The 26,808-nt window shown below is 48.3% G+C and overlaps 1 protein-coding gene across 31 annotated transcripts in view, besides 2 other annotated features; it reads right to left on the reverse strand.

Moving 5' to 3' along the window:
- Positions 1–298: 298 nt before the first annotated feature.
- The window catches only part of PLEKHA6 (pleckstrin homology domain containing A6), a 159,316-nt gene continuing 132,806 nt past the window's right edge, over positions 299–26,808 (reverse strand). For 15 of the 31 annotated variants that reach the window (XM_047449455.1, XM_011509297.4, XM_006711221.4 and 12 more), the window contains 9 exons: positions 26,310–26,449; positions 24,560–24,709; positions 23,131–23,260; positions 22,821–22,927; positions 11,859–12,035; positions 10,383–10,550; positions 10,174–10,307; positions 9,529–9,674; positions 4,908–5,031 (listed from right to left, as the gene is read on the reverse strand). In XM_047449455.1, coding sequence (XP_047305411.1) covers positions 4,916–5,031; positions 9,529–9,674; positions 10,174–10,307; positions 10,383–10,550; positions 11,859–12,035; positions 22,821–22,927; positions 23,131–23,260; positions 24,560–24,709; positions 26,310–26,449 — 1,268 coding nt within the window. In that variant the 3' untranslated portion in view covers positions 4,908–4,915. Of the gene's footprint in view, positions 4,226–4,907; positions 5,032–9,528; positions 9,675–10,173; positions 10,308–10,382; positions 10,551–11,858; positions 12,036–22,820; positions 22,928–23,130; positions 23,261–24,559; positions 24,710–26,309; positions 26,450–26,808 lie in introns of those variants that run through there. The other 16 variants (XM_047449463.1, XM_047449459.1, XM_047449457.1 and 13 more) reach the window with 5 other exon arrangements.
- Positions 3,547–4,048: an enhancer, noted in NCBI's record as "H3K4me1 hESC enhancer chr1:204191229-204191730 (GRCh37/hg19 assembly coordinates)". NCBI's record gives its function as "activates a minimal SCP1, AML or CMV promoter by ChIP-STARR-seq in naive H9 embryonic stem cells {active_cell/tissue: H9 hESC(naive)}" and the evidence as "EXISTENCE:reporter gene assay evidence [ECO:0000049][PMID:30033119]".
- Positions 4,049–4,548: an enhancer, noted in NCBI's record as "H3K4me1 hESC enhancer chr1:204191731-204192230 (GRCh37/hg19 assembly coordinates)". NCBI's record gives its function as "activates a minimal SCP1, AML or CMV promoter by ChIP-STARR-seq in naive H9 embryonic stem cells {active_cell/tissue: H9 hESC(naive)}" and the evidence as "EXISTENCE:reporter gene assay evidence [ECO:0000049][PMID:30033119]".

Below are 26,808 nucleotides of genomic sequence, written 5' to 3' on the forward strand. Positions count from 1 at the left end.
CAGGGCCTGAAGCATCTGATACTGCCATTATACAGAACCTTGGGGCAAACCCTGATCTGGGGTCACCTGAACTGAAATGATGATGCTGGTGTTGGTAGCATACCCTCGCTTCCCCAGCTCCTGGGGATGGAGGCCAAAAAGTGCAGGCTGAGGCACAGGGGAGGAAGGAGCACATGTTTTACACCCAGCCTACCTCCCAGCCCCCATTCCCCTTTCCTGCCAACCCCACAAGCTGCCAACCCCACAACCCCACAAGCACCACAAGGGCAGACACCGAGTAGGAGACACACACCACATATACAAACCATTCATTTTATTTCCTGTATTGGGTTTATACAAACTTGCAAGATACAAATGCAGAACTCACTGGGATTCTTCAGTACCTAAATCTAAAAAGAATGCTGCTGAAAGGGGGAAGCAAACTCTCACCTGTTTCAGTCAGGCCATCCCTCCTCCTGGGGAGGGGGCTCATTGGCTAGAAAGATGCTAAGGGGATGCTACAGCTGTTTGTCCCCTGACAGAGATTCCATCTATCTAACCTTCACCCTTCTTCTAAGGCCACTTTTATGCTAAATAAAGACACTGAGATAATAAATTTCCTTGTACAGTTTATTGTCTAATACTAGCAAATCAAATTGGCCCCAATATGTGCATAAATAGATATACGTGTGTGTGTGTGTGTGTGTGTATATATATATATATATATAATGTGTGTGTATATCATATTTTTTCTTAGTTTTAAGAGCTGCCAGGTAGAGGGTGCCTAAAGGGGAAAGGAATTGGTTCCCTCTTGCCGTAGCCAGCCCTGCCCAAGAACATGCCTCTCCCAAAGGCCGGAGAGCAAGTGTGCCACTTGTGCCCTTAGAAAATCTTCAAAGTGACAGTAGCAGTATTTGACTGCAGCCTCTTGGTTATTGATCATGGAGGTAATGTGCTCATTGAGAAGGCCCTGGATGAATAATCAGAGCTTCCCCAGGTGGGTCACTTAGCTCTGGACCCCCATCTGGGCTCTGTTCATTCAGAGCAGGATGTTCTAGGCTGGCGACAGGGTGTCAGTAAATGCCCCAGGTGGGAGGCCAGGCTTCAAACGCTGGCCAGGAGCTCTGCTCTAGATTCCCAAGCCCTTGATTTCAGACCTAGACAAAGACTTCCATCCTGCCCAAATCCTTGCAAGGCCAGAGACCCTTTCCCCACTTTGATGGTTGACAAAGGCTAAGCAGCTTGGAAGGCTGAGCTGGCTTAGTTCGGTGCCCCAGTGGCAGCCTGCTGGGGTAAAGTCCCGGGGGTTTCTTGGGTGAGGTTGAGATGCCACCTTGTCTGTAGGACCCTCCTTGGCCCAGAGGCTGATTTCACAGTCTGGATACCAGACTGAGGTACCATGCCTTTGGTACAGCCCCCAGAGAGAAAGGTTGCAGAGGGGGGATGTCATAAATGTGACCCAGGCCAGAGAGGGATCAAGTGAAAAGGAGTGTGACAAGTCCAAGGAACTTGTATGTGTCTGTGCTACAGGGCCAGGGATGGCCCAGAGGATCCCAAGCCGCCTCCTCTGGGCTTCGCACCGTCTCGTACACTGACATCCTTAGTGCTGTTTGGCATAGGCTGCTGTTACGCTGTCTGCTCTTTCCAGCAGGCTGATGAAGAGGGGTAGTCTAGCAGCCCATCTGGGGTGCATGCCTGCATGGGTCTCCTTTGTGCATACAACTGCAAACAGTTCCTTCCAGAGGATTCACGCCTGACAACCGCAGAGGGTCATCAGGAGCAGACAGTGTAATAAAATCCTTAGGCCAGGACTTCCGAGGGAATGCCCTGCCCCCGGCAAGATGCTTTCTGGGTGAGCTCTGGGGACCAGCCCTTTCGTGACTGGGGAATAGGATGGAAGGAAGCCACTGTGGCAGAGGGACAGGCACAGGGTTGGGACCTAAAGGCAGTTACCCCATCTCCTCACCTCATTTGCCAATTCCATTCAGACATTGCACAATTTGAAAATAGATTTGCTTTTTTTAAACAAAAGCATAAAATAGATGTCTTAAAATAAGTCTTTCCTCTCCCCTTCTTTGGATCAAAAAGGCAAGGGGTATGGTCTTGATATGCTAGGAATGATGTGGAAAATAAGGGAGAGAAAAACAGGCCTGGGCAGGAACTGTAGGAAAAGATCAGACATCCAAACAAATATATTACATATATAGATCTATAATATGTATAATCTCCATAAAACATATATTAAGGCATGTAAAGCAACATAAAGAGCCAGCTTTATGAAATAAGAGATGAGAGAGAGGTGGCAGAGGCGCAGACATTATTTCTTGGTATTTTACATGTATTTCTAAAAAATATTACTTTAAAAAAAAAAAAAGAGACGGACAAAGTGGCAGGCATGGAAGGCCCTGAAAAATCTGTTTCCTGTGGAGGGAGAAAGGCTTGGGAGAAAGAGAGAGAGAGGAAATGACCTGGGAGCCAATCCCACCTGCCAGTCTGCAGGGGAGAAAGGGCAGGTTTGGGGTGCTTGAACTGTGAAGATGGGAAATACAGCCAAGGGTCACGTTTAAAAAACCTGCTAGAAGTGAAGATCGGTGGAATCCTCCCAGGCTGTAATCCCTCAGAAACATGAGAATATCCTAAGCACCTACAACAGTGCCTGGTACATAAAAGGTGCTCGATAAATATTTGTTGAGTAAATTGTCATCTTTACTTGCATATGAACCAGTAACTGTCCCAGCCATGAAGGAGTGCAGAGGAATTAGTAGGTGTTCTTGGGACCGCTGGAAGTCAGGCTGAAGCCTCTGAGCGGCAACTCTAGCAGAGAGAAGGCCGAGGGGCCACGGTGTCTTCAGTTTCCCTCCTTCCTCCTCTCTGGCTACATTCGTCTCCAGGTGGGTGGAGCTGAGGAGGAATGCGTTTGCTTTTCTCTGTCTTCCCCGCTGCCCTCCCGGGGCAGGTGGATCATGAGAGCGCCTAGCCTCAGCCAGTCCTCGTCTGGGATGCCTGGGATAGGGGGATAGGCCTCCCAGATTAAGGCCTCATCCCCCCTCCTCAAGGCGTACTCTCAGCTGGCCCACTGCACATTCCAGGGGGAACAGGGCAAGAAATATCATGGAACTGGGTAGGTAAGGCCCCAAGGCTGACCACACCCTACATAAGACAAGTCCTTCTCTCTGCCCCTTACCCCAGGATGGCGAGGCAGACACCAGGCACAGACCTACTAACAGCCATCTCCCAGGCAGTCGCTACTCAACCCCCTTCACCCAGATCCCCACACCAAGCATCTCCACTGAGGCTGCATGTGCTCCACTGGTGGGTCCTCCTAGGGATGAGGTGGGAGGAGCAGAGGAGACAGTCTGGCACTGCACTGGGCACTAACCTAAGGCTCCACCGGGGGAAACCAATCTGATATCCCCTTTCCATCTCCCTCCTTCCTGCTTGACTTGCCAATGTGTCCTGCTGCTTCCCCCTCCTTCCACTCTGAGGATCTCTCTCTCTCTCTCTCTCTCTCTCTCTTTCTGTCTCTCTCTCTCTGCTACCCTTCCCAACCTGCCCTCAGACACTGCACAGACCTGCTGTTCTCTAGCCACAGCCAGCACTGTTCCCTCTGGGAGCCAATGGCCTCTCCCCATCTCTCATCACCTTGTCTTTGGCTCAAGCAGGGTGGTCAGTCTCCACCGGACCCCAGCGAGCACCCATAAGCAAAGCACTGGGTTTGTGTCAAAGCCCTGGGTCCAGCTGAGGCAGTAGGGTGGGGCTGACGAGGATAGGGATGATGACAAGTGCTGTCCTTGGTGTCAGGCTGGCTCCAGAGGCAGTGTCCATCTCCTCTTCACCTCTAGTCCTCACATAAGATAGCCACAGGTGTGTTCTCCACCACGGCATGTCCCCCATCAGGGAATGTTCCACTGGAGTCACCACAACCCCAGCCAGGGCAAGGCTGAGGCTCCCTGTGACTTGGACATTAATGAGGATGGTGCTCCCCACTGTCATCTCAGGCCCTGGCCCAGGACCACGGTGTGAGTAGTGATGGCTCCAGGGCTGGGCATGGTGGGTGTGTGGACACTGAGGTATCCACGGTCCTCTGGCAGCAGCCCATGGCCCCAGCCTGGCTCCCTGCGGCATTCCCATGGGAGTGCAGGGGCAGGGGGCCAGGGTGGGGAGCCAGGACCTCAGGTGGGCAGAGGACGGCTTCAGAATGTGGCTCTGTGGAGCTTCACAGCATTGGCCTCAGCCAGGGCTTGCACTGGAGAAAAAAGAAATGGAGTGAGAAGAGTGCTGCACAGAGGAGCAAGGACTCCAGCCAACCTTCCCAGGAAAAAGAAGCCTCATCCTGCAAAAACCTGGCAGAAACCCACTCCGGTCCCTCAGTCCTGAGAGGGGAACAAAGGAAAGGAAGTCAGTGTTCTTTTCTACTTGACTGAGAGTGAGCGGCTGTGGGCTAGGGGCAAGGGAAGGGTTCACAGCCTTTGGCCGTAGTTGTCAATGTTATTTTAATTTACAGTAAGATCTGGGAGTGGAGAAACAGCTTCTGAGGGCTTCTGAAGGTTCTGCATCTGTGTATCTCAACAGATGGAAAGCTTGTCAGCAGACAGGAGGCACAGGGGTGGGGTGTCAGGGAAGAGCCTTCCCTGAGAGCAGACAGGTGAGGTCTCGGCTCCATTCCCTGCCTGCTTCTGGAGAAGCAAAGGCCATTGGCATCACAACATCCAAGAAGCGGCCCTGCCAGCTGGCTCCAGCCCAGCACTGCGTGGGGAAGCTGGATGGACGGATGGATGGATGAATGGATGGATAGTGGGGAGGAGCAGCACAGGGCACTGGGGTAGGGGAGAAGCAATACCAAAATGAGAGGGCATAGATGGCTCAATGGGGGTGAAGGAAGGGGCCCCACTCCCGAGGTGGATGAAATACAGTAGAAAAGTGCTTACGTCAGAGCTCAGACCCGCATGGTATAGCTGCTGTCGGCGCCCCGTGGGGATTCAGACGACAGGGGGTTTGCTGGAGGAGCCGGGGAAGCAGGGGAGGTGGGAGGGCTTGGGGTGGCACATTGCACTGGAAACAGAAATGAACAGGGAGGTGAATGGGGGTGGGTGGGGGAGGAGGGTGGGCACCCAGAGCAAGCGAGGCCCTCCCCAGGCAGGGAGTGAGGCAGGGAGGCAAGCGAAGAGAGAGCACTGAGCTTGGAGCTTGCTCAAGCTAGGCCAAGCTGTCCTCATTCCCAGGGCGTCGTGGAGGAGAGTGTGAGGCCCCAGAGGAGACCTGGCCGAATCTAGGCTCTGCTGAGAACCAGTGTGACTGTGGGTAAGGCCAGGCCATCTCTGGGCAAAGGGCTCCCCTCCCATCCACACAATGGGGAGATTCACACACCTCTCCACTACTGTGCAGACAGAACCAGGGAGTGGTACTTTATATACGGCAGTGTCACTAATGATAATGATTAATAGTGCAGTAAAATCACACTAATCCAAACCATCTGGCCCCATTTAATGAACAGAAGTGAAGTGACCACCATGTTAATCAATGCCATAAAAACAGAGATTTCTAATAAACTTAAAGCGAGTTCTGTCAACTTGGCACAGTCAAGGGCTCGGAAACATGTTCCCTGCTAACACTTGAGACCCCCTTTTCATCAGTCCAGTAAAGGCAAACTTCGGTCCACCCCTGAGCAAATCGAGACAAGCCTGAAATGATGTTTGAATTAATGAGATTTTACTCTATTATCATTATTATTCCATGTTAAGAATAGCAAAGTGGAAGGACAATGAGAAGGGGAGACTTATTACTGGGGACAAGCTCTATGCAGTCTCCAGACCCTTATGCATCCTCACTGTAGCCGCGAGGCAGGAGGATGGCAGAGACAACATCCTCACTCAGGCTCAGAAAGGAACCAGACCTCAGCCAGTGTCACACTGCATTTCCACCGAGAGAGGGGACCCAAAATTGAACTTCCCAGTCCCTCGTCCCCCACCCTACCCTGGACTTCATCACCTTCCCTGCCGTCTGTGCAAGAGAAAGAGCCAAGGTGGCTACTGTCATTACATATCTAATACACCTACATGTGCATAGAACACATGTAGTTCTCGCATGGATGTGAAGTTTTCTGCCTATACACGATACAAAGTTTGTGCATGGGATCTGGCAAGTCCATATCATTACACTCATCGCACACAGCTCACATAAGCGTATTTGTGTACTTCCAAGCCTGTGCCCTTCCACATGACCCAACACTTGTAACTTCATGTGCAAATACACTCACAAACACTTTCAAACACACATTCGTGTGCATAGCCACATCACTGACCCAACGCTTAGTCATCTAGCAGTCTCAACTTCTAAAACAGCCAAGAAACCAAAAACGAAGCAAAAGATATCTCCAGGAAGCCAACATAGAGGTTATAGCCCACAGGACATGCAGCGAGGCTCTCAGAATTTACTCATATGGACCCCCTGGAGTCCAGTTACTCTTATTTATACGCAATTCTAAAAGGTGTTGACTCGCTGGGTTTCTAGCCCAGGGGAGATTAGAAACAGGAAAATTCAAAGAGACAGAGGAATTGGGAGGCCCACTGACATCTGTAAGAAAGCACGACTGAGGAGAAAAAATATTTTGTAAAAAGCAGACATAACAGCTTTAAAAGAGTGACAGTTTGGGAACATTTAGCATAGCTACAAACAGATCTATGTCCATTGTGGCCCTAAGGGCATTCCTTTAACAGAGATCGGCAAAATAAAGATATTTATAATGATAATACATGAGCAAGAAGAGGTCATATGTAAACAGAACTTTGTTAAGAAGGCAGAAAAATACTAAATATATATTAGAAATATATCCATCAAAATAGTTAAGATTTGCATATGCTGCAGATGTGAATCATACAGATGTGATATTATAATGTGTGCAATCACAAGTACCACATGCATGCAGAAATGATCAGTCACACATACTCACATTCATGACACTGTACTTTCTCCCAGCCTGTGCACACAGACAGAAGTTCACAGTATTGCAATATATACACTGTACACAACATATACACAAATATGCTTTATCATTTCCCATACTGCGGAAAAGCCAATCACACATAAATACATGCATTCATAAACACCACCTCCACCAATGTATTGTACACTCACATACATGTACATTTATGCTCCAACACCTTACCATATACCACCTGGATTCATAAATAACAGGTCTCCACACAACATCCTTAGACATTTTACACAGACATAATACACATTCCTACATTTGTACTCAAACCTTTCCTCCACTCTCACACTGCATACTTGAATACACACAAATAAATGCATGAATCTACAAACATGACCAGATCCAGACACTGCACAAGACATTCGCGCCACACGTACAAACTCAAAAAATGCCATGACTTCCACATATTACATACCTGAGTCTGCACGCACCGGGTGGATTTGTAAGCATAACAGCATTCCTCACTGATTACTCTGTCCATGCCACACACCACACGCGGGCACTGAACTCTACTCGCTGCACCCGCTGCACGCTGTGCTCATGACCTGTGCCCAGCACTGCCACACACACAGTGTCCTGGGTGTGAACCTGTGCCCACACAGTGCATGCCCAGGACCAGTCTTGCTGTGCCTGGCAGAGCTGTAGCTCTGGGGAGCTGGGCCACAGGCCAGGGGCGGTGGGAACAGTGGGCTGAGTCTGAGGTCTGGCCCTGCCACAGCCCTTTTTTAAATAGTTGGGGTTTTGGCAAAAGCAAGGTGACCGTTTGGTTTCAGCACACAGACCCTGACATGTAAGCCCATGTGTATCAAGACGGAAATCGGATAGGCCGGGTGGGTTTTGTTTTCATGGGACCTTTGGCTGAGGAACTATAGTAGAGAGCGCCAGGGGCTGGGGCTGGGGCTGAGCAAGGTTTTTAAACCAGCCTTGTCTCTCTAACCCCTTGAAACAGGAAGTTGCCTTTTGCCCAGAGCATGTGGAATCTGATCTTTGGAAGGTTCAAGTTCATTTTGCAGCTAAACTACAGGGAGGTTCAACAGAGGCCTGCTTCCTTGTGGCCAGACTGGTTTTGCTGCCTTTTGGCTGCAGGATGGGGCTCTCTGAAGCTATCCCTTCTCTTACCCTCAACTCCAGCCTAAAGACAGCCTCTCCCTGAAATACCTCCAAGGCTCTCCCTGGACACCCATTCTAAAGTCCATTACACCCTAACTGGCAGAAGGTTCTTCATTAAGGCTTACTTAAATCCTCTTTTCTGTAGCTAAAATCTGGTTTCTGAAAATATCCATATTTAAAATAATTAGCAAAATGACAAATGGTTTCTATTTCTACTTCATCTATTGCTATTTCAACTACTACTACCAGCAACACAGCGCTACTGCTACTGTCACCACTACTACGGCACGCGAGCATGTATTGAGCACTTACTGAATGCCAGGCACTGTGCTAGGTGTTTGGCACACATTGTTTCCAATCCTCATACCACCAGCACTGGAGGCAGGAATTTTGATTTGAATTTCACAGATGAGGAAATGGAGCCTCAGAGCACCAGAATTTGAACCTCCTCAATCACCAACATGAAACGCCATCCCTTCCACTATGTTCTGAGCCACGGTTCTAACCTGCTCATGGCCTGGTTCTTGCCTGGGCTACTGGAATGGTGGCCTGCACACCTGCTCTAGCTTCTCTGCCAGTGTCATCTCCAACCATGGCTCCCCCTTCTGAGTCATTCCTCTTAACTGTGGCCTTCAAAGCTCTCACTCTCACTCTACCTCTCTATCCTAAGCACCTTTATCTTGATGAAGGGAACAGTCTCCCAGGCTCCTTGATTTACCCACTGTCTCTCCTCTCCCTTTAACCCTCCCATTCATACAGAATCTCTTTCATTCTTAAAAGCTCAACTACATTTTCATCTATTCTGGGATGATATCTCAGGCTGAGTAGAAGCTGACCCTGTTGATCTCAGCCCTATCAGCATCTAGTCAGGACCTGGTAGCCTTTGTATCAGCGTGAAGTCAGTTCCTCATAGTTATCTTTTCTTAGCAGAAAAGTGAGTTGGATCAGTAGCCAAGGTGGTAATTGCATCGCTCTCAACTCTTTGGTTGCCCTCACTATCTTTTCTTGGCTTCTTCCTATTTGCATGCAGCAAAAGCAGGAAATGAAAGGATACTCTGGAATACCTGGCCCTCTCCCTGCAACTGAGAAATATTTTTATCTTTCTCAGTCAAACTCAGCTGTCATCTTTTCTCTGTGCCTTTCCCTGACCTGCCCAAGCAGAATGGCTCCCCATGCTCTGCATGGCCTCTGGCCATTACTCCCTAAGGTGGCTGTAAGGATCATCCCGGCTCTGAGCTCCTGGATGCAGCAACTCTGGCCCCTTTGCACCTCCCTGAGCCTAGCACAGTACCTGGTGCTCAACAGATGCTCGTCTCAACCTCGAGGAGCATCTCCTCAGCCTTGTATCTCTTTGCTACTGCCCCCCTTGTAGCAGTGCCACGCTTCCTCCCTTAAACCTGGTCAGCTGGTTTCCCTGGCAGGGTGGAGCGAGGCCCAGCCCCTCTCACCAGACAGCATGCGGCCCCTGCGGGAGGCCTCGGTCGCCAGGGCGCAGGAGATTTCAATCCGCTTCTCCTGCTCCTGCAGCTGGCTCTCTGAGTCCTGGGGCACGTCCACAGAGTCCCCCTCGCCGATGGGCACCACGTTCTGCATACTGAAGAGGCACAGACACACAGAAATGGAGGGAGGGACAGGATGGTCCAAGTGGCTTGAGGGGGCCTGCGGACTGAGGTTGGCAGGGAGGGCCAGGGCCCCGTGAATGTGCAGTCTCTGGTTCCCAGCAAGGCTGTCCCTAGGAGTGAGTGGGACCCTGGCAAAACACAGGTTGGGACCCCTACCTTCAATGTTCTCAAATGAATTAAAAGGTTCAAGTGAGCATTTAGGGCAGCCTTGAAGGGGAAAAGAAGTCACCAGAGGGCGAGCCTTCAGTTTTGTCTCGATGGTGTGGTGTGCACGAGCCTGGCAGGTCTTAGTAGCACCTGACAGCAGCATCCTTGCCTCTGCCGGTAGCTGGGCCCTGTCTGCTGCCTGGAGTCACCACCTCGATGTGCTCTCCCCTGGGGAGGCTCTGTGCCCCCAACGACTTCTAGTGGCCCAGGTGTCCTAGGTGCCAGGGTGAGCAGAGGAAGTAGAGGCTCACCCAGGCTGGTTACCTGGATTTGGCAATGAGTGTCTTGATCCTCTCCACCTTCTTCTGCTTCTCCTTCAACTCCTCAGGGCTCAGGGGAGTGTCAGGCTCCAGGTCAATGTACCGTTCAGGGATGAGGACTTTGTCTGGAGTGGAGAGCTATGGAGGGGCTGGGGTCACCACCTCTGTCCCTTCCCAGAGTCTCCCACTACAGCCCTTCCTGGCTCCACTCACCTCCTTATTGATGTCCACGTCATAATGCTGGGGCTCTAGCTCCATTTTGCGAAGCCGGGCAATTTCCTCCCGGGGTGTCTCGTAGGCATGCCCGCCAGGCTCCTCTGCCCGCAGGGCTGCCTCCAGGTTGGAGATGTCTACCTCATGGATGCTGCGGTGGCGGCGCACCTAGGGGACAGCAGCATCGTGATTGCACCATGGCTACCCATGCCTCCAGGCAGCTCTAGCTATGCCCTGTCCTCGCTTTCCCTTCCCAGCTCGCCTGATCTAGCTGCCACCCCACTGCTCCCACCATACCCCACTGCAGAACTATCTTCCTTCCTTTCTGCTGGCCCAAAGCCTGCCCACCTGCTAGGCCCCAGGGGCAACATCTCATCATCTCTTGTCAGTTCTTGCTGTTCCCCATCCTGCTCTACCCTGTATTCTCATTCTGTGCTACATATTTTGGGCAGCTGAATTAGTGTGACTTGTATTGATTTCTTCTTTTTATTTTTTAAGAAACAGTGTCTTGCTGTCACTCTAGCTGGAGTACAGTCACAGAATCATAGCTCACTGCAGTCTCCAACTCCTGGCCTCGAGTCCTCCCATCCCAGCCTCCTCCCAAGTAGCTGGGACTATAGGTGAATCCACCATGCCCAGCTACTTGTTAAACATGTTTTTATAGAGATAGGGTCTTGCTTTGTTGTCAGGCTGGTCTCAGACTCCTGGTCTCAAACAATCTTCCCACCTTGGCCTCCCAAAGTGCTAGGATTACATGCATGAGGAGCCAACCACACCCGGCTAACTTCCAGTGATTTCATATTATAGAAGTTCTAATCCATCAACTAGAATGTAAGCTGTTGAGGACAGGACTTATGAGTCATAATTTTTCCATATTTCTAAAATTTAATGGAAAGAAAATTTAAGTGATGTCTTGGGCTACATCCAGCTCTGTACTTAATAGCTGTGTAGCCCAGGAATCCTTTAATTTCTCTTGACTTTGTTTCCCCATCTGCAAAATAGGGATAATAATTCCTAACCCAATGTTGTTAAAAGGATTAAATGAAATAACATGAAAGGGATTTGTGGATTATACTGTGCCATGCAATGGTGAGCTATTATGATTATCTTCATCGCAGCCAGCCCAGTGCTAGGCACAGAGGAGATGCTCCAGAAATGGGTGTAAGTGACAGCTATTTCTGTGTGGTGAATTCTGTACTATTCTCTATTAAGTGAATTTTGTATAATTCATTTCAACAAACATAATTAAGGCATTCCTTTTTGTGAGTTATTTTCTTTAAACAAGAAAAAGTCAACACTTGAAGGACTCTTCTGCCGATGGGGGAGAGGACTCTCCGGCTCTCCCAGGTGCCCAGCTTGGGTTCTTTCCCCTCTCCTTCCTCTCAAACCCCCCAGGCCCAAGCTGGCCATGCCCTGGGAGTGGGCAGTGTTGGCAGATGCCAGGCTCACGCCTGTGGGTAGCTGGGAAGGCATTACCACTTTGTAGGCTGGCCGGGGACTGGGGTCGGGGGCCGGGCTGGCCGGGAGCTGCAGGCTCCTCCGCTTCTCCCTCATGGAGCCACTCTGGTGCCGCCGCATTCGGTCAATCTGCTCCTCCACGCTCATCTTGACCTTCCCCTCGCCAGGAAACACAGCACTCTTGGGGCGTTCCTGCTGCCATGGGAAAACAGGGCTCTGACAAGTGCCTTATCCCCCACCCAGCTTTTCCATCCTGAACCCTTAACATTTACCTTCTACGGGAAGTCTGCCTGTAGTGGACTGAAGAGTGGTCCCCAAAAGATATGTCCAAGTCCCAACCCCAGGTATCTGAGAGTGTAACCTTATTTAGAAATATGAGATCACCCTGAATTAGAGTGGGCCCTAAATCCAATGGTGTGTCCTCATAAGAGACAGAAAAGAAGATGACATACAGAGTAGAGGTGACATGAAGAGGGAGGCAGAGATCGGAGTGGTTCATTTACTCAGAAAGGAATGCCAAGGATTGCCAGCAATAACCAGAAGTTTGGAGAGAAACCTACAAGAGATTCTCCCTCAGGGCTTCCAGAAGGAGCCAACCCTGCCACCACCTGGATTTTAGACTTGTGGCCTCCACATCCATAAGAGCATACACTTCTACTGTTTTAAGCCACCCTGTGTGTGGTGATTTGTCACAGCAGTCCTAGGAAACTAACACAGATTTTGATACTGGGAAGGGGTTGCTGCTATAACACATACCTAAAAATGTGGTAGAGACTTTGTAATTGGCTAACGGGTAGAGGTTGGGAAAATTTCAAGGTGTATAATAAAGAAAGCCTAGTAGATTTCCTTGAAGAGATGACTGGCAGAAATATGAGCTTTAAAGATGATCTGATGAGGGCTCAGAGGAAGTGAACAGCATAGAAAAGAAAGCTTCTATTGCCCTAGAGAATAGAGTTATGCCTCAGTATCCCAGGGGACTGGTGCTAGGATCCTGATGGATACCAAAATTCATGAATGCTCAAATCCCTGCTATAAAATGGCAAAGATGTGCATATTACCTACACATATCCTCCAGTATACTTTAAATCACCTTTAGATTACTTATAATACCTAATACAATGTAAATGCTATGTAAACACAGTTGTTATCCTGTATTGTTGGGTTTTTTTTCTTTCTTTTTTTTTTTTTTCTGAGATGGGGTCTTGCTCTGTCACTCCAGCTGGAGTGCAGTGGTGCAATCATAGCTCACCACAGCCTTGAACTCCTAGGTTCAAGCAATCTTCCTGCATCAGCCTTCCAAGTAGCTGGGACTACAGACACATGCCACTGCACCTGGCAAATTTTTTAATTATTATTATTTGTAGAGATGAGGTCTTGCTTTCTTGCTCAAGCTGTTTTTGAACCCTTAGCTTCCAGTAATCCTCTTGTCCCAAAGTGCTGGGATTATAGGTGTGAGCCACCATGCCTGGTCTGTATTGCTTGTTATTATTTTATTTTTACTGTTGTTTTGTTTTTTAGTATTTTTCCCCTGAATATTTGTGATCTGTGGTGGCTGAATCCATGGATGCGGAACCCGGAGATATGGAGGGCCCATTGTATATATATCATGAATGGAATGCTGGTAGAAATATGAATGTTAAAGATGCTTCTGGTAAGGTCTCAGAAGGAAATGAGAAACGTGTTATTAGAAAGGGAAGAAAGGCCATCTTTATTATAAAGTGGCAGAAGTGTGGATATATTGTTTTCTACTGTCGAGTGGAAACAGAACTTGAAGGCTGTGATGAACTTAGATATTTAGCTGAGGAGATTTCCAAGCAAAGTGTTGAAGGTGTGGCCTGGTTTCTCTTTGTACTTACAGGAAAATGATACAGAAGATAAATTGAGAAAAGAACCGTTAAGCCAAGAGAAACCAGGGCTTTTTTATTTGGGAGGTTCTCAGCCTACCTAGTTCACAAAGGATGCTTAAGTTAAGAAACTCATTGTAGGAAAAGTGTGCCCTAGAGAGAGGGTCAAGGATGTAGCTGGACAACATTTTGCTAAAGAGATTAGGTATGTCTCATGAACCCAATCGACCATCCCAGAAGAAGCCAGAAATAGAGATAGAGTTATCTAGAATGGATACCCTTGAAATACAAAGGGGGTCTACAAAGTTTTTGAGACTGTTATACATACAGAAACACTGCTAGCTTGTACAGAAAGGACAGAGATAAGATGAAATGGAAAATGAAAATAACTATGGGACCTCTGGGATTCTACAGGCAGGAAATAGGCTAATAGAGCTACTTAACTACAAACACATGCTAACCTTCAAGGAAAAGCAAGAATGACTCAGAGCAAAGCTGTGGATGCAGAGGCAGGGTCCAAAGAGGCAGGCCTAGAGGCAGGGGCTGATGGAGTCTCTGTGGTCCCAGAGGGCAGGGGAGTGAGCCACAGAGGATTATTCTCAGGCCTTGAAACCTAATGGAATTTCCCCTGCTGGATTTCAAGCTTGCTTGGAATGGTGACCCCTTTGTTCCTTCCAATTTCTCCTTGTTGGGACAGGAATGACTTACTTTTTAAAATTTTTATTTTTTAAAATTTATTTTTTAAATAGAGATAGGGTCTCACTATGTTGCCCACACTGGTCTCAAACTTCTGGGCTCAAATGGTCCTCCTGCCTCAGCCTCCCAAAGTGCTGGGATTATAGGTGTAAGCCACCACCCCTGGCCAGGAATGACTTACTTATGCTTGTCCTCCACCATTGTATTTTGAAAGCAGATTAATTTATTCTTTCTTTCTTTTTTTTTCTTTTTCTTTTTTTTTTTTTGTCTAGCTCTGTTGTCCAGGCTAAAGTGCAGTGGCATGACCACAGTTCACTGCAGCCTCCACCTCCAGGGCTCAGACAATCTTCCAGCCTAAGCCTCCTGGAGGAGGCTAGGATATAGGTATGCACCACCACACCTGGCTAATTTTTTTTTTTTTTTTGAGATGGAGTCTCACTCTGTCACCCAGGCTGGAATGCAGGGGTGTGATCTCAGCTGACTGCCACCTCTGCCTCCCAGGTTCAAGCGATTCTCCTGCCTCAGTCTCCTGAGTAGCTAAGATTACAGGGATGTGCCACCATGCCCAGCTAACTTTTGTGCTTTTTGTAGAGACATGGTTTCACCATGATCCACCAGCCTCGGCCTCCCAAAGTGTTGGGATTACAGGCATGAGCCACCGCACCCAGCCCATCTGGCTAATTTTTAATTTTTTTGTAGAGGCAGGGTCTCACTATGTTGTCCAGACTGGTCTCAAATTCCTGGGCTCAAGTGATCCTCCTGCTTTGACCTCCCAAAGTGCTGGGACTACAGGCGTGAACCACTGCACCTGGCCAATTAATTTGTTTTCTAGTTTAAAAATGGAGAGATTTTGCCCCAAAATGGATCATACCTAGAGTTTCATGCATACCAGATGGAGATGATTTAGATGATGAGATTTGGGACTTTTGAGCTGATGATATTTCAATGACATTTTAGACTTAGGATACAGTCATGGGCTGAGACTTTTGGGAATGTTGGTGTTAGGTGAATGTATTTTGCAAGTGAAATGGGCATGAAATTTGGGTATCACAGGGTGGACTGAAGTTGTTGAATAGTACCCCCAAAAAGAGATGTCCAAGTCCTAGCCCCCAATACCTGTGACTGTAAACTTATCTGGAAATAGGTCTCTGCAGATGTAATTAAGAATCTCAAGATGAGATAATCCTGGATGAGGATGGGCCCTAAATTAAATGATGGGTATCCTTACATGGGGCAGGAAAGAAGACACACAGAAAATGAGGTGATGTGAAGATGGAGGCAGAGATTTGGTTGATGCATCTACAACCCAAGGAATGCCAAGAGTTACCAGGAACCACCATAAGCCAGGAGAAAGGCAGGAAACAGATTGTGTCTCAGTGTCTCCAAAGGAACCAACCCTGCTGGCACCTTGATTTTGGACTTCTAGCCTCCACAACTGTGACAGAATAAGTTTCTATTGTTTTAAGCCTCCTGGTTTGTGGTAATTTGTTAACTCCTGGCAGCCCTAGGAAATTCACACTACCTTGGATCAGCACATTTGACTCTGAACACTGACTTTTGCTGCTTTCCCTGCTTTGTATTTCATCAACGCACATTATGATAATTTTGTAAAATATTCTTTTATATTTTTTATGCATATGTGATGGTTAATACTGAGCATCAACTTGACTGGATTGAAGGATACAAAGTATTGATCCTGGGTGTGTCTGTGAAGGTGTTGCCAAAACAGATTAGCATTTCAGTCAGTGGAATGGGGAAGGCAGATCCATCCTTAATCTGGTGGGCACAATCTAATCAGCTGCCAGTGAATATAAAGCAGGCAGAAAAATGTGAAAAGGAGAGACTGACCTAGCCACCCAGCCTACATCTTTCTCCTGTGCTGGATGCTTCCTGCCCTCGAACATCAAACTGAAGTTCTTCAGTTTTGGGACTTGGACTGGCTCTCCTTGCTCCTCAGCTTGCAGGCAGCCTATTGTGGGACCTTGGGATCATGTAAGTTAATACTTAATAAACTGCCCTTTATATATATATATATATATATATATATATATATATATATATATATATATATATATATATCTAATAGCAGATATATATATATATCTGCTATTAGTTCTGTCCCTCTAGAGAATCCTAACTAATACAGATTTTGGTATTAAGGATGAACCCTAATTAATACAGATTTTGGTATTAAGGATGGAGTTCTTTCATTGGTTTTGGGGTTTCTGGAGTTGGCTGCTTAATATGATTAGACCCAAAAATGCTAAGGACTCTACTTCTAATAGTATGGAGAACACTGATAGTCCTTGGCATGAACTGTTTAGAGAGTTATGCAAAATAAATGCATTTGACACTCTTGATTCACGGTTCATTGAGAGGCAAGGAGTTTAGTGACTACATAATACCTTTGACCATATGTGGAGAACCAAGGAACATAATGAAGCTGGTTGGTTGCTCCTAAGTTCAGTAGACAGTGATGAAAGAAAATGATGAACTCAGGGATTCTATCTCCCAGCTTCAGAAGCAGATACTGAGCCTCAAGTATGCTAAGACTGTCCTGAGTTAGAGTCTTATCTCCTGTAGAGAAAGAGCTGAAATTGTGTAAAAACAGACACAAGCTCTTATCATGTGAGTGGCTGACCTGCAATGAAAAATGCATGCACAGCCTTGCCAGGCGTCTATTGTTAAAGTGAGGGCATTGATTGGAAAAGAATGGGACTCTGAAACTTAGAATGGGGACATGTAGGAGGACCCTGATGAAGCTGGGGACATGTAGGAGGACCCTGATGAAGCTGGGGACATTGAGTTTGTAAACTCTTATGAACCTTTTTTTGCCAGAAGGAACAGCTTCTCCATTCCCAATAGTGGCAACATCCCCTCCCCGACCCATGCTGCCATCAGCCTTTCCACCTTTGTCTGAGAAGGTAAACCCTGTGCTGCCAGAGGCAACAGTCAAGGCCTCCCCTGAAGCAGTTGCCAGGCAAGATAATGTTGATTCTCTTTGAGAGGCACCCCCAACACCTCTGTTTGCTTCTAGACCTATAACTGGACTAAAGTCCCAGCAGGCCCCTAGAGGTGAGGTTGAGAGTGTGACCCATGAGGAGGTATGCTACACTCGAACTGTTTGAGTTCTCTGATTTATATAAACAGAAATCTGGAGAACAGGCATGGGAATGGATATTAAGAGTGTGGGATAATGGTGGAAGGAACATAGTGTTGGATCAGGCTGAATTTATTGATTTGGACCCACTAAGTAGGGACTCTGCATTTAATGTTGCAGCTCAGGGAGTTAAAAAAGGTTCTAATAGTTTATTTGCTTGGTTAGCTGAAATATGGATAAAAGATGGCCCACTGTGAGCGAGATGGAAATGCCTGATCTCCCTTGGTTTAATGTAGAGGAAGAGATCCAAAGGCTCAGGGAGACTGGGATGGTGGAGTGGATTAGTCACTTTAGACCTACTCATTCCAGCTGGGAGGGTCCAGAAGATATACCCTTGACCAAGGCATTGTGAAACAGATTTGTGAGGGCAGCACTTGCATCTTTGAAGAGCCCTGTAATTGCTCTTCTCTGCATGTCAGATCTAACGGTGGGAACTGCAGTCACTCAACTAAAAAATTTAAATACAATGGGAATAATTGGATCCCGAGGTGGCAGGGTCCAAGTGGTGGCACTCAACCATCAAAGGCAAGGTGGGTGTAGCTACTGTAATGTACAGCAGAGGCAAAATGGCAATCAGAATAGTCTGACTTATGTAGAGCTCTGTCATTGGCTAATTAATCCTGGTATTCCTAGAAGTGAAATTGGTAGGAAGCCTACTGCATTCCTACTTAATTTATACAAGCAGAAAGCTTCCAAGTCAAATGGGCAAAAGACTAATTTGAATTATAAAAACAGAGAATCACAGCCTCTCAGTCAATTTCCATTCTTGAGCCAGTTTACAGATGCATAACCCCTTGAATGAAGGGGAGGCAGGGTCCTCTTGAGGAAGGACCCCACTATATTACCAACAATTTATGCAGTGAATCTTTCTTCTATCCTTCTCCAAGGAGACCTCTGGCCTTTTACCAGGGTGACTGTGCATTGGGGAAAGGGAAGTGATTAGACATTTCAAGGACTACTGGACACTGGCTCTGAGCTGATGTTGATTCCAGGGGACCCAAAACGTTATTGTGGTCCTCCAGTTAAAGTAGGAGCTTATGGAGGTCAGGTAATTAATGGAGTTTTAGCTCAGGTACAACTTACAGTGGGTCCAGTGGGTTCCCAGACTCATCCTATGGTCATTTCCCCAGTGCCAGAATGCATAATTGGCATAGATATACTTAGCAGCTGGAAGAACCCCCACATTGGCTCCCTGACTGGTAGGGTGAGGGCTATGATGGTGGGAAAGGCCAAATAGAAGCCATTAGAGCTGACTCTATCTAGAAAAATAGTAAATCAAAAACAATATCACATCCCTGGAGGGATTGCGGAGATTAGTGCCACAATCAAGGACTTGAAAGATGCAGGGGTGATGATTCCCACCACATCCCCATTCAACTCTCCCATTTGGCCTGTGCAGAAGACTCATGGATCTTGGAGAATGACAATGGATTATTGTGAGCTTAACCAAGTGGTGACTCCAATTGCAGCTGCCTGTACCAGATGTGGTTTCACTGCTTAAGCAAATTAACACATCTCCTGGTACCTGGTATGCAGCCATTGACAAGGCAAATGCTCTTTTTTCCATTCCTGTCCATAAGGCCCACCAGAAGCAATTTGCCTTCAGCTGGCAAGGCCAACAATATACCTTTACTGTCCTACCTCAGGGGTGTATCAACTCTCCAGCTTTGTGTGATAATCTTATTCAGAAAGACCTTGATCACTTTTTGCTTCCGCAAGATATCACACTGGTTCATTACATTGATGACCTTATGCTGATTGGATCCAGTGAGCAAAAAGTAGCAAACACACTGGACTTATTGACAAGACATTTGCATGCCAGAGGATGGGAAATAAATCCGACTAAAATTCAGGGAACTTCTACCTCAGTAAAATTTCCAGGGGTACAGTGGTATGGGGCCTGTTGAGATATTCCTTCTAAGGCGAAGGATATGTTGCTGCATTTGGCCCCTCCTACAACCAAGAAAGAGGCACAGTCTAGTAGGCCTATTTGGAATTTGGAAGCAACATATTCCTCATTTGGTGTGTTGCTCTGGCCCATTTATCAAGTGACCTGAAAGGCTGCCAATTTTGAGTGGGGTCCAGAATGGGAAAAGGCTCTGCAACAGGTCCAGGCTGCTGTGCAAGCTGCTGTGCCAACTGGGCCATATGACCCAGCGGATCCAATGGTGCTTGAGGTGTCAGTGACAGATCGGGATGCTGTTTGGAGCCTTTGGCAGGCCCCCATAGGTGAATCACAGCAGAAGCCCCTAGGATTTTGGAGCAAGGCCCTGCCATCTTCTGCAGCTAACTACTCTCCTTTTGAGAGACACCTGTTGGTCTGTTACTGGGCTTTGGTGGAAACTGAACGTTTGACTATGGGTCACCAAGTCACCATGCGACCTGAACTGCCTATCATGAACAGGGTGCTTTCTGACCCATCTAGCCATAAAGTGGGTGGTGCACAGCAGCATTCCATCATCAAATGGAAGTGGTATATATGTGATCAGGCTCGAGCAGGTCCTGAAGGCACAAGTAAGTTACATGAGGAAGTGGCTCAAATGCCCATGGCCTCCACTCCTGCCACCATGCCTTCTCTCCCCTACCCTGCACTGATGGACTCATGGGGAGTTCCCTATGATCAGTTGACAGAGGAAGAGAAGACTGAGGCCTGGTTCACAGATGGTTCTGCAAGATATGCAGGCACCACCCGAAAGTAGACAGCTGCAGCACTACAGCCCCTTTCTAGGACATCCCTGAAGAATAGCAGTGAAGGGAAATCTTCCCAGTGGGCAGAACTTCAAGCAGTGCACCTGGCTGTGCACTTTGCATGGAAGGAGAAATGGCCAGATGTGCGATTATATACTGATTCATGGGCTGTAGCCAATGGTTTGGCTGGATGGTCAGGGACTTTGAAGAAGTATGACTGGAAAATTGGTGACAAAGAAATTTGGGGAAGAGGTATGTGGATGGAACTCTGTGAGTGGTCAAAAACCATGAAGATATTTGTATCCTATGTGAGTGCTCATCAAAGGGTGACCTCAGCAGAGAAGGATTTTAATAATCAAGTGGATAGGATGACCCATTCTGTGGACACCACTCAGCCTCTTTTCCCAGCCACCCAATGGGTCCATGAAAAAAGTGGCCATGGTGGCAGGGATGGGGGTTACACATGGACTCAGCAACATGGACTTCCACTCACCAAGGCTGTCCTGGCTATGGCCACTGCTGAGTGCCCAATTTGCCAGCAGCAGAAACCAACATTGAGCCCTTGATATGGCACGATTCCTTGGGGTGAACAACCAGCTACCTGGTGGCAGGTTGATTATATTGGACCTCTTCCATCATGGAAAGGGCAGAGGTTTGTCCTCACTGGAATAGACACTCACTCCAGATATGGGTTTGCCTATCCTGTATGCAATGCTTCTGCCAAGACAACCATCCATGGACTCACGGAATGCCTTATCCACCGTCATGGTATTCCACACAGCCTTGCCTCTGACCAAGCACTCACTTTGCAGCTAAAAAAAAGTGTGGCAGTGGGCTCATGCTCATGGAATTCACTGGTCTTACTATGTTATCCATCATCCTGAAGCAGCTGGATTGATAAAACGGTGGAATGGCCTTTTGAAGTCACAATTACAACACCAACTAGGTGACAATACTTTGCAGGGCTGGTGCAAAGTTCTTCAGAAGGCCATGTATGTTCTGAATCAGCATCCAATATATGGTACTTTTTCTCCCATAGCCAGGATTTACGGGTCCAGGAATCAAGGGGTGGAAGTGGAAGTGGCACCACTCACCATCACCCCTAGTGATCCACTAACAAAATTTTTGCTTCCTTTTCCCATGACATTATGTTCTGCTGGCCTACGGGTCTTCGTTCCAGAGGGAGGAACGCTGCTACCAGGAAACACAACGATTCCATTAAACTAGAAGTTAAGATTGCCACCTGGACACTTTAGATTCCTCGTACCTTTAAATCAACAGGCTAAGAAGGGAGTTATAGTGTTGGCTAGGGTGATTGACCTGGACTATCAAGATGAAATCAGTCTACCACTCCACAATGGAAATAAGGAGGAATATGCATGGAATACAGGAGATCCATTAGGGCATCTCTTAGTATTAAGAGATCCTGTGATTAAGGTCAATGGGAAACTACAACAGCTTAATCCAGGCAGGACTACAAATGGCCCAGACCCCTCAGGAATGAAGGTTTGGTCACTCCACCAGGAAAAACACCATGACCTGCTGAGGTGCTTGCTGAAGGCAAAGTGAATACAGAATGGATAGCAAAAGAAAGTAGTCATCAATATCTGCTATGACCACGTGACCAGCTGCAGAAGCAGGGACTGTAATGGTCATGAGTATTTCCTCCTTCTTTTGCTAAAAATATGTTTGTGCATGTATACACTTGTGCTAAGGAAATATCTTTATTTCATTTCCTTTTCCTTTATCATATGACATAGGATTTATTGACCTCACATAAGCATTGAAGTATTGTTAACTTTATGTAATAGTATTTGGGTTGGGGATTGGTGCATTTCCTGTTGTACAAAGGATAGTCGTATTATGTTAGGTGTAATTATGACCTTATTATTGTCTTTATTTGAAGATTATGTATGATCTCAGGAGATGTGTATGGGTTCAAGTTGACAAGGGGTGGACTTGTGATGATTAATATTGAGTGTCAACTTGGCTGGATTGAAGGATACAAAGTATTGATCCTGGGTGTGTCTGTGAGGGTGTTGCCAAAACAGATTAACATGCTGGGGAAGGCAGAGCTACCCTTAATCTGGTGGGCACAATCTAATCAGCTGCCAGTGAATATAAAGCAGGCAGAAAAACATGAAAAGGAGAGACTGGCCTAGCCTCCCAGCCTACATTTTTCTCCCGTGCTGGATGCTTCCTGCCCTCAAACATCGGACTCCAAGTTCTTCAGTTTTGGAACTCAGACTGGCTCTTCTTGCTCCTCAGCTTGTAGACAGCCTATTGTGGGACCTTGTCAGCATGTAAGTTAATACTTACTAAACTCCCCTTTACACATATATATTATATATCTTATTAGTTCTGTCCCTCTAGAGAACCCTGACCAATGCAGCATAGCTTCCTCATCCCCTGACACATCTCCCTGCAGGAGAGCTCCTCCTCCAGTGGGGCTCTTGCCCCTCCTCTCACGTGTTCCACCTTCCTCTCCAGCCCTGAATTTCTTGAACAGCAGAGGGAGATGAGTAGGTACACACACAGGCCCCTGGGCTCGCAGCCCAGCTCAGGCCTGCATGAGCTTGCAGAGGTACCCACCTGGGAGGAGAGTCCATTGGTGAGCCCACTGGCATTCCTTCTTACCACTGCTGATGGGGTCACCTCATCATCAGTGGGCGATTTTGTCCGAGGGGGCACAACGCCAACTGCAGAAAGACAGAGTAGCCAGTGGGCCTCATGGAGAGCAGGAAGGCAGGAAGCCTCCTTCTCAGAGACAATCTCAGCCCCACTCTCCACCGAGATTAAAAAGCCCAGGGTGTGGCACCAGGTTTTGGGTGTGAATGAGCACCCAGGGCTCCTCCCTGAGCATCCTTGCCTTACTTCTAGGGGAAGATGGGACAGAAAGTACCTTTGTTGAGAGCTGCCTGCTTCTCTGCCTCTACCTCTTGCCTGGTGGGCACAAGGCTGATGTCTCTGGGGGTGTCCAGGGGCAATGTCTGGTGGGGGTCTTTCTTGCTTTGTTCATAGTTTGCCTTGGGCTGGGGAGAAAGGGTGAGAAGATGGTTGATGTTAGTATGGCTGTCAGGAACTTGGCCCCCAGTGATGTTTCTTTGTTTTTTAATGGTTGAAGCTCAAACCCTTGCAGATACAAGGAACAAGGAAATTCTATGTGTGCCGCCTGGGAGGCGGACAGGAATGCACTGGAGCCTCCCATTCGTGCACTTTAAGACTGGTCAATGATGGGCCATCTTGAGGAATGATTGCTCATGGCCCCTAGGAGGCCCCTCAACCTGACCATTTGTCTTGGCTGGCACTAAGAACCACAGACTTGCTGTGAGCCAGATTCAAGGAATGGCCGGTGGGGGGTCTCTGAGGATCCTGTAGGGAATCCTACCCAAGACATGAGCAAACAGAACCAGGCGGGCCTTGGTACCAGGATTCTAGGGAAATGAAAAGGGCACTTAGTGTGTGGGCTCACAAAAACATGAGACTAGAAGAGACCTCAGCCATCATCTGAGCCACTGCTCCCATGGTACAGTTGAAGAATCTAAGCCTCAGTGAGAAGAATACAAAAAGAAGACCAGGCTAAAGGTCAGCAGCTCCAGTTCTAGCCCAACTAGAGAACAGAGGTCCCCTTTCTTCACCTGTCACATACGGGTAACATTACCTGCTCTGCCCATCTCACCAGGCAAACACTCAAGGGTTATGCAAATTATACATAGCTAAACCTAGATGAGCATATGAGTTTTCCAATTTTAGGCACAGGACTCTTTCTACTCACCACACAACCTCTTCCAAACCTAACTGCATATCTCCTGGATCTTGGCTAGGGATGCAGGTGAGAGAATGAGCCAGAACAGGAGAGAAAAGGGCCTGTATCCTTATACTACAGGGACTCATGAAACCCAACGAGGATACAACACAAAGTGGAGGCAGAGAGACAGCATGGGTGGAGTGGGGCCTGGGATGGGCACACGAAGGGATCGGAATGGCACTGCTGAGAGTATCACTCAGTCCCCATTGGCTGGTCATGTTGGTAGGGAGTGGGGCTTAATACCAGCACCCACAAACACTGGCTGCCCATGAGCCTGGGGTTGGAGCAGTAACTCATGTCCCCATCACCTACAGAAAGCAAAAAGGCACAGAAAGATGGCCTGTATGATGGCTTCAACTATCCTTTCCTTATCCCAGAGTCCAGCTGGGCAGGGGTGCCGTAGAAACCGACCTTTGGGAAAATTAATGGGGAAAATGACTCCAGGGCCCTGCCTTGCCCCTTGGCCTGGCCCTTTGCCCATTGTCCCCTGCCCCACCCTCCAGGACCCAAGGGTGATGGGTACCTGCCCCCTGGCTGTCTCGCCACTGCGGTGCCAGGAAGGGGAGCTGGGGTAGGGCCAGAAGCGGCTCTCGCTAGGGAGTGGAGGGACGGCTGGAGGAGACTCCAGGGGGACGTAGGCTTTGGGGAGGGGAGGCCGAGGCGGGCCAGGTTCCTGAGGCAGACAGAAGCCAGAGCATTAGGAGGAACAAGAGCAGCCACTGTGAGAGCAGGAGAAAAGAGCGTTAGCAGGAGGCAGACAACAACATTGCTGGAGACCTGGGTGGGCCCCTGGGACCACTGCACTCCCACCCGTGGCCTGAAGAGAGTGCCAGCTCTGAAGCCAACTCTCTGCCTGACCTTCAAGGCCTTCCTTGACCCAGCCTCTACCTGTCCACCACTCCCCACTGCTCCCCAAGTTTTCCCCAAAGCTCTCTCATTGCCTCGCCCCCATGCCAGGCAGCTCCTCTCCCACCCTTTTGCTTCCACCCACTCTCCTGCCTAGAATGCCTTTCCCTTGTTCCTCTCCCTGTCTTGCTGCTCTGTGGCCTGGTTTAGGCCCCACTGTCTGTTGGAACATCAGGGCGTTTACAGTCTGAACCATGTGGCTTAATGTTGAGACATATGCCGTCATGTTCCTATGAATTGGTCTTGGTCCATAGGATGCTGGGCTCCCTGAGTGAAGCCTTTGAGCACATGTGCGTATCTTTATTTTATTTTTCTTTTTTCTTTTATTATTATTATTTTTTTGAGATGGAGTCTGGCTCTGTCACCCAGGCTGAAGTGCAGTGGCGCAATCTCGGCTCACTGCAAGCTCCGCCTCATGGGTTCACGCCATTCTCCTGGCTCAGCCTCCGGAGTAGCTGGGACTACAGGCACCAGCCACCACGCCCGGCTAATTTTTTGTATTTTTTAGTAGAGACAGGGTTTCACTGTGTTAGCCAGGATGGTCTTGATCTCCTGACCTCGTGATCCACCCACCTCAGCCACCCAAAGTTCTGGGATTACAGGCGTGAGCCACCACGCCCAGCCTCTTTCTTTTATTTTTTATTATTATTTTTTGAGATGGAGTCTCCCTCTGTCACCAGGCTGAAGTACAGTGGTGCGATCTTGGTTCACTGAAACCTCCACCTCCTGGGTTCAAGCAATTCTCCTGCCTCAGCCTCCTGAGTAGCTGGGACTACAGGCGCGCGCCACCACGCTCAGCTAATTTTTGTATTTTTTTTTTTTTTTTAGTAAAGATGGGGTTTCACCATGTTGGCCGGGACAGTCTCTATATCCTGACCTAGCGATCCACCCGCCTTGGCCTCCCAAAATGCTGGGATTACACGATTACGCACCCTGCCACGTGTGTATCTTTCTAAGAGGGCCTCATGGTACCCCATGCCCACAGTCGAGCCCCAGAAAACACTTGCTGATTGACTGACTAGGAAACTGCTCCCCACACTGACCCTTAACCCTGTTGCTATCCTGGTATCATCCTAGATTTAAATTCTTGTGAAATGCATGCTGTCTGCTATCCATCCTGGTGCCCAGGAACAGGCTTCACTGCAAGGGAGCTAAAGATGACAGATGGAGATGAGAACAGGTAAAGGGGAAACCTGGAGAGAAGTTCACAAAATGGGGTGTGAGAATGACCTCCTTAAACAAAGAGCTCCAGCACTAGGGCTGGAGGCCTGTGGGGAAGAGATGGGCACAGAAGTTGTATAGTTTCAGACAAACGAGGATCTGGTCCTCCCTCCCCCACCTACCTTCTACTCCATTTCTCAACTTACCTCGTTGGAGCCAGGCTTGGTGGGGGACCCCTGAGAGCCCGACACCAGTGAAAAGGGGCTCAGGGGGCTGGTGAGGCTGGCAGAGCTGAGGGGGCTGGCCGGGCTGTTGGAGCTGTAGGTGGCTGAGGGGCCAAGTCCTCCTTGGGGGAAACAAGGGGATGGGTGAGCAATGGAGGAGGGGTGCGGCCTGGTGGGTAGATGGGCACTGTGAGTGGAGGTGGCAGGGAGAAGCCAGATCCAGGGATGTGGAAGGGCAGATTTAGTGTCTCAGGGCTACCTGGGCCTGCCAAAGGGGCTCATTACAGGTTCTGGGGCCACAGGCTGGCTGTTGAGAGGTGTGCTGGGTGGGGAAGACGGTAGATGGAACTGATACTGTTGTCCCTGAGGTGTCAAGGAAAGCCAGTCTGAGGTCCCAGGGCTCAAGGAAAACTCTAAGGTAGGGGTCACATGTCACAAGTGGGCCCATGTGCTTGGGGGCTGGGGAGGCTTAGGTGCTTTT

Source organism: Homo sapiens, chromosome 1, assembly GCF_000001405.40.
Source record: "Homo sapiens chromosome 1, GRCh38.p14 Primary Assembly".
Taxonomy (NCBI): domain Eukaryota; kingdom Metazoa; phylum Chordata; class Mammalia; order Primates; family Hominidae; genus Homo; species Homo sapiens.